We start from the raw sequence: 13,041 nt of genomic DNA, 5'->3' as shown, positions 1-13,041 counted from the left end.
GTCAGTGTCTTACTTTATGCTGAAAACTCCCACATCTATTTCTTTTCTTTTTCTTCCTTTTTTTTTTTTTTTTTTTTTTTTTTTTTTGAGACAGAGTCTCACTCTGTTGCCCAGGCTGGAGTGCAGTGGCGCGATCTCGGCTCACTGCAAGCTCCATCTCCCGGGTCCACGCCATTCTCCTGCCTCAGCCTCCTGAGTAGCTGGGACTACAGGTGCCCGCCACCACGCCCGGCTAATTTTTTTTTTTTTTTGTATTTTTAGTAGAGATGGGGTTTCACCGTGTTAGCCAGGATGGTCTAGATCTCCTGACCTCGTGATCCGCCTGCCTCAGCCTCCCAAAGTGCTGGGATGACAGGCGTGAGCCACCGCACCCGGCCCCCCACATCTATTTCTTTAGTTCAGCGCTCCTTCCTGGTTTCCAGCCTCCTATATACAACGAGTTACTAGGTTTCCAAGCACTTCAAAATGAACAGGCTTAAAAGTGAACTCATCTTTCCACAACATTGGTCCAACTCCTATGGTCATATGTCAATGAATAGAACTATTATGTATTGGCCGGGCACGGTGGCTCATGCCTGTAATCCCAGCACTTAGGGAGGCCGAGGCAGGCAGATCACCTGAGGTCAGTAGTTAGAGACCAGTTTGGCCAACATGTTGAAACCCCGTCTCTACTAAAAATACAAAAATTACCCGGGAGTGGTGGCGGGCGCCTGTAATCCCAGCTACTTGGGAGGGTGAGGCAGGAAAATTGCTTGAGCCTGGGAGGCAGAGGTTGCAATGAGCCGAGATCACACCACTACACTCCAGTCTGGGCGACAAGAGTGAAACTCCATCTCAAAAAAAAAAGAAGAAGAAGAACTATCATGTATCAAGCCCTGTCAGAAATGCAGTAGTCACTTTTTTTTTTCTTTTTTCTGTGACGGAGTCCAGCTCTGCTAGCTCTGCCACCCAGGCTGGAGTGCAGTGGCACGATCTCGGCTCACTGCAAGCTCCACCTCCCGGGTTCACGCCATTCTCCTGCCTCAGCCTCCCGAGTAGCTGGGACTACAGGCGCCCACCACCGCGCCCGGCTAATTTTTTGTATTTTTTAGTAGAGACGGGGTTTCACCGTGTTAGCCGGGATGGTCTCGAATTCCTTTCCTTTCTCTTACCTCCTACAATAAAAAGTTCAAGTCTAATAAATTCTATCAGCACCTGATTGACAACCATCTCTTCTTTCTCTCTCCACCACCGCTGCCTTAATCAAGGCTCTTGGCATTTCTTTATTAGATTATTGAAAGACCCTCTTGGCTGGTCATGTTGCCTTCAATCTTACCCCCTCTGATCCCTTCTTTATCCCACAGCCATAATGGTTTTCGCAAATATGAATGACATCATGTCACTGTCCCATCGAATAGCCTCTGATGACTCCCACTGCCTAAGAATAAAGTTCTAAATATATTAACTCTCCCCCAGCACAGTCCCATTACTCAGTATTTGCCAATTGTGCATCTTAAGTCTTTGTGAACTCTAGACCTAGTGAACTGCTAGCTGTTCTCCAGACATCCCATATTCTCCCATTCCTCTAAGACTTTTCTTGTGTCATTCCTTCTAAGCCTTTTCTTGTGTCATTCCTTCCATAGGCCAGCTTCATCCCTGTTTTCCTTACTTGACTTACTTTGGTTATGTTTTGAGACTCAACTCAGGCATCACTTCTTGACCTGTTCAGTGTCACCCTCGATCTTAAGAGGACATAATGCTTCCCTCGACTGTGCCATAAATCTCACTCTACTTTAATTGTTCGGCTCATTCTCTTTCACACTAGAATACTTAGAACCTTGAGGATGGAACAGTGAATTCGATATGTTTGAATAGACACATAAGTAAATGATTGGCGTTAAAGGAGCAGCCCCTTCGAAATTGAACCAATTACATGAGGGAGATGCAAAACAAGGTCTCCTGAACAAACCTATCCACAAAATAGTACAGGATCATTCTCCAAAAGTCACTACAATAAATAGAGTTGCATCTAAAGGTATTTGTTCAACCCCAGTACTGACAGCTTAAAGAGCTCAACATTCAGGAATAGCTCCAGGAAAAAAAATCAGAACTTGAGTCAGAGCCATCCCTACTGATAAGCATAAGGTCTCTTGCAGCCATTTTGCTGCAGGAATACCATGATGTAATTCAGGGAACACAGCACAACAAAGTGGGAAAACCAGCTTCTAGTTATATCTGTACCTCTCAGCCACCAAAATTATTCTCTTGATAAATCACCTGCTTCATCTGAAATTGTAGGGCAGCAACTTTATGAGCTTAAAAGAATCCATTGGTCTTCTGTATTCCCTTTAGCACTAAAATGATTACATCATTTCAGTGAAAATGCTTTTCAGCAAATTATTTTCAACTCTTATAAATCAAATTCTATACTAACTATTTATGATTAGCTAGGGCTTATTTGAGAGGTTCCTTAAGGACTGCTGAGTGATGTTTGTTAAGCAAGTCCAAACACTCTTCCATATACTGGTTTTACTGACCTCGCAGAAGGTGAGCATAGGCTCTGCAATGGTTCTTCAATAATAGAGACAGATGACCTGTCGTCAGTGGGTAGAATGCTGGTCTACACTCCTCCCTCTCCTCTGACCAAAGATAGGTGGAATGAAACGCTTCCTTTGACTAGCTGGGAAACAGAGGGAAACAAATGGACTCAAATACCGTCTAAGACAGAATTACATTTGAGTGTAATTTAGTTAACATGGAAAACAATGCATCTCACAGACATCTTTCTTCACTCACCTCTCAAAGGCCCCTGCTCTTTCTTACCCGTGTAATCACAGCTCATTCAAATATTGGTCATCTACAGGTATGGGTTAAGGCTGAATCTGTCTCTCCAGGCTAAGGAGGAGAATCATAATTATCCTATGTAAAATATGTGGGATATTTTCCTTTTTCTATTTTTTAACTCAAGTTTGGAGATGCAGCCAAACAAGATGTGATAGCAACTCAGCTGGGGACTTCTGGGAAAGGTTTTCCTGGACTATATGGACATGTCCTTCTCCCCTGTGCACTGTTGTAACTAGGCATGACACTGTTGCATCTATCTGTGACTATGAGGGGAGATAATAACAACTGAGAATAACAGAGTAGAAGGATGGAAAGCGCTTATGTCTCTTATGATAATCATACATTAAATTAATCAAGACTGAAACAACCCTATCTTTAGAAACAGGAAATATGATTTCATATTATTTGCAGCCCCAAACCCTCCTAACTAACATAATACGACTGATTGTTTTTCAAATAGCATTCTTTGTGTTCAGACTGATGGACTTGTGGTACTTTTGAAGGGGCTGGCAAACTACAGCCCCCCAGTGAAAATCTGCCCAGCACTTGCTTTTGTAAATATAGTCTGTATTGGAACACAGCTACTCTTTTTCATGCCATCTATACTCTAGTTGCTCTTTCACCACAATAGCCGAGTTGAGTAATTGAGACAGAGACTGTATGGCCCACACATATGAAATATTTATTATCCACCTCTACAGAAAAATTGTGCTGGTTCCTATTCTGTATCAGTGGATTTCAGGTAGGGGCTGTATTACTCACATAATATTTTCCAGGGGCCATTTTGGATGCCCCAATCATTGTGAAGTAATTAAAAGGCCAGCATTGTTTAATGGAGTGCAATGTTAAAGTCCCACATAACAACGGATATTCTCACTCAAAATACCAACAGTGATCCTACTGAGAAATACTACTCACCATCAATATAATAACCCATAACATAACTTGGGCCTTGGGCCACGTGAATTGTTTTTTACATTATACCTACTACCATGGAAACTGTAGGTCTGGTAGATTTATTAGCATAGGTAAATGGCAATCTAGAAGCATCGCACTATAAAAACATTATTGATCCTCATTAGCTATTTGTCGATAAACAGAAGAAATATATTTATTGTTACTTTAGAGGATTTTTTTTCATTAAAATTTTCTGGTTAGGAGTTTATTTAGACAAACTGAATATTCCAAGTTCTGTTCTAAAATACAAGTTGTCTATGCACACAATTTTTATCGAGGAATATTTTATTTTATACTCATGAATTTTAAGTGCTTTTTACTTTCAATTTTACAAAGTGGTTATAATTTCTTTGGAGTTCTTTTTATGTTAAGCAGTATTTATAAATAATGATAATTATTTTAATTTCTGCTTTAATAAAAAGACCTTAAAATATTTTATTGGAATGAACTAAATTAGCCTCACTACGGAATTTGGATTTGAAAGAAAGACAAAAGATACACATCTAAAACCACTGCGACTGTTTCACAATCAAGAAATATATACCCTTAAACACACAGTCTGCTAAAATATATGAAAATTACAGGGATTTTAAAATATGTGAATTGCCTTTATAGAACAATTTAAGGAATATAAAACAAATATATCCTCAGAGGAATAAACCATAAGTCCAAAAAGTCATAATTCACCTAGAACTGTTATTTTTATCCAGAGCTTACAATACTAATAACCACAAAAGCTAGGGTGAGGCATGCTTCAGTAAGGCAGTGGGGTGAAGGAGCAAGTGGTTTGGTCCTTTAGAAAATAATCAAATGGCACTTCAGCTTTTCAGATTTTAACTACGTACTTTTTTTCTGCTTTAGAAAGTACACATGGTGATAAGAGGAAGGCACTGGGTGCTCTAAACTTCGTGTTGCAAATATTATTCCAGTTTATTCAATCCTTTTTTGTATACTGAGAGTTAGCATTTCTTGTACATGTGTAGAACAAAACCACCTAAAATTCTCCTAAACATTCAAGAAAGACATGCCCCCAGCTCCTCCGTCTAAAATGTGTATGTTACATATACATATGACAATGAGTATGTAACAACCCCCTGGCTATTCAGCAAACAATAAATACTAAGGTACTGCTATCTGGGAGACGCGTAGTGGTTTGTTGACACTGGGCAGTGTCAAAGTTCTTTCAGCGTGGGCCCCAAGTATGAATGATCCTCACATACGAAATGAGTGTAAAATATTCCTCAGTTGGGTATACAGAGAGCACTGATTCTACAGAGCAAATCTCTGGCAGAGAGATTACATACAGGACTACACACCCAAGTAGACAACTATTTGATTCAACAGACAGATAAAAGGAAAATCAAGAGTTACCACATAAGGCGTTCAACATTATGAGCACAGCACACAGAGGAAAGGAAAGCCTCTACAATGACTGTGCTTAGAGGAAATGCTGAGCAAATATACTTGAGAAACTCTAGGACCTGATAAAATAAATGCAACAGAAAAAAAAAAATCTGCCAGGGGGCACATAAAACAGGATCCTGTGATCAATGAGAAAAGAACTCAGGAAGATAGACTTCACAACGAAGGGTTTCAACCAGCTTTCAGTGAAGAAGTGGAAATTGTTATCTAAATATACTATAGACTTTTCATACCTTATCTATGTATGCATACAATAAAATGTACATTATTCTCAGTTTAGAGCACAAACTCAGCCATTTCCAAAAAACGTCTGTGTTGGTTGTAGAAATAATTTGTAGGCCCACCCATATAGCATTGTTTAATGTGTGTGTCTGGAATTGATGGCTCCTACGTCACCATCGCAATCAAGGTTCTAATGTCCAAAGGAGCAAAAGATACATAAATGACACCACGTTACAGCAAGACTTGGAATTACACAAAATAATTCACAATACTTGGAAGATAATTTTTAAATACAAATAAACAAAGTTATCCCAAATTCTTCTTTTAGCACTTTGGGTATTTTATGCTGGACTATTTGTTTCTGTGTCTTACATTATGTATACTGAAAGTTTTTCTTTATAATTGGGACCAGTGTACATACTGTTTTAAATAACCCATTTTTTTGGTCTCTTTTACGTAAATCAGATTTCAATGTCAATGTGTGTTTCTGTGTATAAATATAGCTACATCATAGACTATTAATATTTAATTTTCCTGCCCAATTCTCTGATGGTCTCCCACTGTTTTAAATGTTCTTGGAATTTAATTCATAGAGGTGACTGAGTAACAACACAAAGACGTCAGTGCCATTAAAAGAAGTTCTGTTACTCATAGTTAGGAAATCTGTGACTCACAGTCCCCAACAGGAGGGGGCATGCTATGCCATGCCTTACAGTGCCACTTGGGGAAGCACCTGGGTGAGTGAAGGAGGTGGCAAGGGGAGAGCAGGTCCCAGGGTCTATATTGTGGTACGGCAGGAAGGAATGAATAAAGCAGGGTACGTTAAGTGTGAGCAAGGTTAAGACTGGACAATCTGAATACTTTCAGCATGCTCTGAGCTGTAGAGGTGATCCTTGGTTGTCTGATACCTAGCCCTAGGATGATACAGGGCAGGGGAAATATTGGCTTAGGGTGTAAGAGAGTTAAAGAAAGGAGCTGGCTGCTTTGACTAGGATATGGGCTTTGGATTTGTTGGTTTGCAAGTGAAAAGTGTGCTCCCAGGCAAGTTGTTTGATACATTTGGGAATCTGCTAGCTCTGGAGGGACAGCCTCTCCAGGTTCAGCAAGGCACAAAGATGCCAAGATATCACAAAATTCAGAAAATTAAAAAAAGTCATTAATATACCCATACAGACAGCTGCTCACTGAGCTTCCCTTCAGCATCCTTTCCTCCCTCTCCCATCTATCGAGACACTGAGATCATAATGCCTGTGGCACCTGGCTCCCACTCTTCCTTACCCCACCTACTTCTGGTGTTATTCCTGATGATCTCAGCATCCTTGTGTCTGAACATCTGACCCCCCAACCTGTCTGACCTTTCCTTTGCTCCATCTCAGCCACACATTCCCATAACCACATCCTAGGCCTACTAATCACCAGAACCAGCACCACCTCTAGAGAGCAGTGTTTGGGACCACGATGGCAAAGGTTTAACTGCTCAGAATTTTTAAAATAATTAATCCACTCAAAGCTAGGTCCTACTTATGTTAAAAAAAGATGGCCAATATGTGGCCAAGATCAAAAAGCCTGAAAGAGCTTCATTACAGGTTTGGGAAACAGATACTCTTTATTCTTCTTTATATTCTTTATAAACAGGTGCTTTGAAGATAGGTCAGTACCTTTCAAAGGCAATTTTATATTAACCATTAAAACATTTATTTTCATATCTTTTAACTTAGAAATTCAACTCCCAGCAATTTATCTTGCTGATAAAAACTTCGAGAAAAATGATTCTCACAATATTTGGGAAACCACACGAGGGCCAATATGGCTGGCATAGGGGAAGCAATAAGGGGAAGGGACGGAAGTGGAGAGTGGGGAAGGAGACAGGAGGTCTCAAAAGTCCTAGGAAAGACATAGATTTTATTCTTGGTACAACAGGAAACAAATGTGGAATTTTCAGCAGTAGAGCTAAATCATTAATCAGCTTACATCAATTTATATTTTGTCCTCCACAGTGTACAGTGCCACTCCAAAGGCAGAGTTGCTAAGGTTTCTGAAAAATTAACTAAAGGGTCAGGGCTGCAAAGAGTGGTGAAGAAAAAGGAAAGAGGACAAAGCTTCTGCCCATGAGACAAGAGTCACAGATCGTGAAAAATGTCTAAAATGCCAGGAATAATGTGACCTTAAGAAAATAAAATTAATAAAGAAATTGCAAGTCAGAGGCTGTCTTAAAGCTATAGGAGAAAAATTCCATTAAGGAAAAATACTTTAACAACAAATTAAGTGATATTTATGGTTGAAATTAGAAATCAGCAGGAATCATCTGAACTGCTTCTATGGAGCAAAAAATAATTCAGTTAGGACTGCACATTTAAATGTTATTAATTCTTTAAAAGCACAAATACTTACCTATCCTGTAAGATTTTTATAATGAAAAAATTTCGTTGTTCTACAGTTGACAACCGGATATTGAAGCAAATTCAACAATTTTTTTTTTTTTTTGACAGTCTCATTCTGTTGCCCAGGCTGGAGTGCAGTGGCTCTACCTCGGTTCACTGCAACCTCCACCTCCCAGGTTCAGGCGATTCTCCTGCCTAAGCCTCCTGAGCAGCTAGGATTACAGGTGCCCGCCACCACACCTGGCTAATTTTTCGTATTTTTAGTAGAGATGGAGTTTCATCATATTGGCCAGGATGGTCTGAAACTACTGACCTCAAGTGATCTGCCCACCTCGGTCTCCCAAAGTGCTGAGATTACAGGCGTGAGCCACCATGCCTGGCCAACCTCACCAATTTTTTAATGTGAGTGTTTAAAAAACACGTTTCTGGAATAGGAAAAACCTAGGTCAAAATACCAACTAATTTCCACAACACTTTCTCAAGAATGACTTAAAATCATGAACATGCTTTTTAAAATAAATGGACTATCTATACTTATGTGTACACTATAAAAATATATATTCAAAGAATATATATGCAAAGAATTCATCATTCCACATTACAACACTTATGAGCTGGCACAGTGTCAAGGCTATTCAAAGAACAGTATATTTCCCTTCTTAAATAAAATGTCTGTTTTGAAAAGTATACTTTTAAGGCATCAAATATCAAAAACCTTGAACAAATAATGTTAACCCTTTCATAAAGTGTAGTCATACACTAAATAAATTAAAAATAGGCTCCAAGAATAAATCATCAATTGAATATTTTGGAACCAGGATTTACTTATGCAAAAGATTTCTAAATCATTTGAAGCACAAAAGATCAACTGTAAAAGTACACTATAGTAGAATTCCATTTTAATATCAACAACAGAAAGCAAGATTTAATAGAGATGTACCATGATATTACACGGGAGATAGACCATATGTTTATAAAGACAGAATTGAATTTGTGTTGTATTTTCAGTTATGGTATAATGGGGCCTGAAATAGTGAAGTTGCACTTTATGCGTTCTACCGGATCTGTCACGCAGGACAGGAAATCTGCTATGAGGGGGAGGCAGCAGGCAGCACTCTGCTGGGTATTTACAGGATGACAATCAACCCACAAACTTCCCTTAAAGTAGCTCTGAGAACATGGATGCCAACCCCTCCATGGCACATTTCAAACAGCTCTGGGAGCTTCTTCACTCCCTGGATTCGTACTGTAACTTGTTTTATGGTTTATAGCAAAATAGAAATAACTGAAGAAGCATAGGCTTTTAGAGTTGGAAGAAACCTGGTTCTTTGACACAACACATTCTCTATTTGATGGCAAAACCATCTACATCTTTAGAGGCAAGTCTGTGGCACTTGCCTTCATGTTTGGGTGGTGATCTCACAAGATGATAACGCTAAAACGCATTCCCAGAGCTGTCGCCCATAAAGCTTTTGGCTTCAGAAGCTGTCTTGAAGAGAAGCAGTCATTTAGGAAATGAGACCTAGGGACAGGCAATCTTAGAAACCTGAATCTAATTATACTTCTTTATCAGAGTCACAATCGATGCTCAGGACCTCAGCAAAAATTATTAAATATTTTAAATTTTATTGCTATAATATTTCCATAAGCATTACGGGAAAATTGTTTATTTTATTAGTTTCTATGTTCCAATCTCCCTGCCCTCATCTCAGACCCCTCCAAGATAACCCACCACACCAGCTCCACAGCAACCATTCTAAAATATAACGCATGTTGTCTCGCTACCTAAAACCCTTCAGCAATTCCTCCTCTCACACAAGGCTGTTTAGCCAGCCCTGTTTAGCTTTCCAGATTCATATTCATTTCCCACACCTTTCCCATGTCTTCTGGACTCGACACACACACACACACACACACACACACACACACACATACACACACACACGCACATACACATACATGCACACACACACACTCTAACCATCTTGCCATTCCTAGTGTGTTTTTGAGAAAAAGAACTACATATGCACAGGATTGGTTAAATTTGCACAGAGCAAGTTCAAGAAGTTTGGAAAGGCTTTACTATCAGAGTTTGGTGAACGGAACGGTGAAATTTCAGGCTAATGGTACAAACTTGGTTATTTTTCTCAAAAACATACCCCTCTCACTTCCCCACCCAGTGGTCCTGTTTCCTGGCTAACCTGTAATTAGGGTTCAACATCAAAATCACACATCCCTTATCCTGAAAAGCCTTGCCTGAAGCCTCTGTTCTGGGACCACTGCTCCCTGGTTGTGCCTTCTGCATCTAAGAACAGAGCACATTGTATCACAGTTGATATCAGGACCACCTCAGAAGGCCACTTGCTGTGTTCTATTAAAATGCTGCTTGAGGAACTGATTCCTAGGATTCAACTTCTGGTTAGCAGACATAAAAGATGATGTAGCTCCCACAGGAGATTTGTTTTCCCACCATTTAATCAAAATAGATGAAGTAGAAAATGGTCAAACGTCCCTCCTAACACACACCTACAACCACCCATTCCCTCATTCCCCCAGGCTGGACCAGAAAAAAATACAGACCTGCTCCAAGAAGCCCAGAAATCTCCAAACCCTGCCAGAGGGCCAAAGAGAAGTTTCTGTAGCTGGACATTTAACTCATCAACTATTTACAAAGGGCAAATACCTACCTTGAGCTAAACATTATTCTCAATTTATCTATATCACAACACCAAGGAGGTAACTGGCAGGTTTATGATTGTTGTCACCTTGGGACCAAAGGCAAAGTATCAGTGTTTTCACTCTTTTTGTCACTGGGCCCTGATGCAGATGATTCTTTCTTTAGGCTCAGGAGCAAGAGCCTGGAGTCTGTCTAGTTCCTGGTCTTTTTGCTGCTTCTCCAGGCCCCTCTCCTCAGCATGTAAACACACCTGAGAAACTGGATGCTTCCACCACAGCGACTTTCAGGCTTCTTTAACTCCAACCCACAGTAAGAAATACAATTTCCATGTTTTATCTGCATGCGAGGCATACAAACATGTAGCTATAAAACTGAAACAAAAGTTTCATAGTATCTATTTTTTCAGATGCCCTTTTCTATTATATTCTACCATTGTTCACTGGACTTCAGAATATTGATTTCCCAGCCCCCTAATATGACTCTACACTCTCAAACATTTATACTTTTTGTAGAGACATGTAAGTACTTCATTTTAAACTATTAAGAGCCATAATCTTCCAGTTCTCAATTATAGCAATTATCATATCACCATTAATTCATCAAAAATTGAGTCTCTATCACATTATAAAATGTGTTCCTTTTGGTCAGTCCCTCTTTTTTCCTGTGTATCTCATTTTATAATATCCCTTCACCAATATTAGGATCCAGTAACACTGAAGTACTTAAAGTTCTTTCCTATCTTTTGAGATTTTATTCAAAAAATTATGGAAAAATCTCCCCAAATACATCAATTTGCACACTCATGCCAATCCTTCTGGACTTGGTTTCTATGTCTTTTGTGTGCCTTCCATGACACATCTATAATAAAATGGAGACTCCTACTATGCTCTCAACGCAGTATCACAAATTGCCACTAAGAGCAAAAAGTATGCTCTGCCATAATTATTTGCATACCTGGCTCCGGAGACAAGAACAAGGGATACATTGCTGAGCCCATGCCCAGACTGGGGCAGAAATCCCTTCCCCTACATCACACATACCCACACAGTTCTGCTCACAGTACTCTACACTTCTCACCAGAACTGATCTTAATTATGTTTTATTTCTATCTCCCTTTCTAGGGTGTAAGCTTTATGATTACAGAAATGGTATTCCCCTCAATTATTCTCACAGAATCTGGTGCAGAAGTCAAAGCACAATATATTTTCAATCAATATTGATTGAATTAACTAATTAATTCACTCCCACCACCAAAAAGATGCTGGTGACTGAGCTTCTACAGGCCAGTCTTGAACCAGCAACATCTATTTGATTGCAGTCCTCCCCGGCATTACCTTTCCTAAAATATCTTCCAAATTGCAGAGTGCTTCCTGAATTGCCCTTCTTTTCATATTTTCCAAACCTTTCTCCAGGCTTCTGTCATCAACTTCCCTCACCTGGTAAACATTCTTCAATTTTAATTACATGCTTATTGTGGGTGAATCACAACTGAAGTAAATTTAGAAGGTGAGCTATTTGCTAACTGTAGACAAAAAAAAAAGCCTAATGAAATTCAAATATCTTTCCTTGCTTATTATCCAAATTTACAGCTGTTTGCATTGCTCTTCTTAATGAATATAGCTATTTTCATATCCAGCTGAATCCCCAATCTCTTTCTTGATTCTCTTTAAAACTGTCTATCCTCCCTCAGAAATCAGGGATAATCTTTTCTTTTTTTAAACTGGATTTGCCCAGAGTTTCTCTCATATTTGCTATGAAAAAGAAAATGGGGAAGTTCCCCTGCAAAGTAGTAGAAGGAAAGTATAGAAAACAGGGAGGGAAAGAGAAGTGGGCAAGGGGAAAGAGAGCATGGGGGAAAGAGAGAGACTGTACGGGGGAGAGAGAGAGAGAGATGTCTTCCATATGACTCAAGAATTCTTTCGCAAATGATTTAAGTCAAGTTACAGAGCTACTACTCAGTATGAGTCTGAGACAGATTGGTTCAGTGGCAAAGCTCTGATAATTTTACTATAATATTTGAAACAAAGTAAAAATATGGTGAAATTAATATCCAAGCCATTTTATGTATTTTGACCTAAACTGATTTTCTTTTTCTTCCATTTACAATCATGAAAAATTCAACTTCTCACCTAAAAATAATATTTATAGACTGTACACATGCATCTGAATTTTGTTGCATGCTTTCTTAAAATAGGGGACATCAATTACTTGAGATTACAGGTCTATATTCTAACAATTTGAATAATTTTCCCAATCTCCATTTGGAATCCGGAAAGCACATATATAAAATTGAACTATGATCCATGTGATGATGATAAGATTTTCTACATCAAATTCATGCAAATTGCAGGCTCATGTCATTTCAGAATGAATTCTCATTACCATTTACTTAGAAGGGAAGAAATAGATGGAGTGAGGTGGGAGAGACTCTTACAAGAGTCTAGATCACAAATAGCTGATTAGTGTGGCTGTTTCCTCTCCAAAGTGACTGGTTAAAATTGTACATGGGCTACTTGCCTTTGTAAGTATATATGCTCAAGTCTTTATGAATAACTCTGG

General features: G+C 39.2%; 1 protein-coding gene across 11 annotated transcripts in view; it reads right to left on the bottom strand.

Moving 5' to 3' along the window:
- CTNNA2 (catenin alpha 2) overlaps positions 1-13,041 on the bottom strand; it is a 1,463,404-nt gene that overhangs the window by 1,012,424 nt on the left and 437,939 nt on the right. For 2 of the 11 annotated variants that reach the window (XM_011532556.3, XM_017003403.3), the window contains exon 2: positions 2,517-2,659. The exons of 8 other annotated variants lie outside the window; for them this stretch is intronic. The gene's annotated coding sequence lies outside the window, so the exon portion shown is untranslated. Of the gene's footprint in view, positions 1-1,657; positions 1,798-2,516; positions 2,660-13,041 lie in introns of those variants that run through there. One more of the 11 variants, XM_024452715.2, reaches the window with a different exon arrangement.

The sequence above is a fragment of the Homo sapiens genome, chromosome 2 (genome assembly GCF_000001405.40).
Source record: "Homo sapiens chromosome 2, GRCh38.p14 Primary Assembly".
NCBI lineage: Eukaryota > Metazoa > Chordata > Mammalia > Primates > Hominidae > Homo > Homo sapiens.
This window is presented reverse-complemented; position numbering and strand designations above follow the sequence as displayed.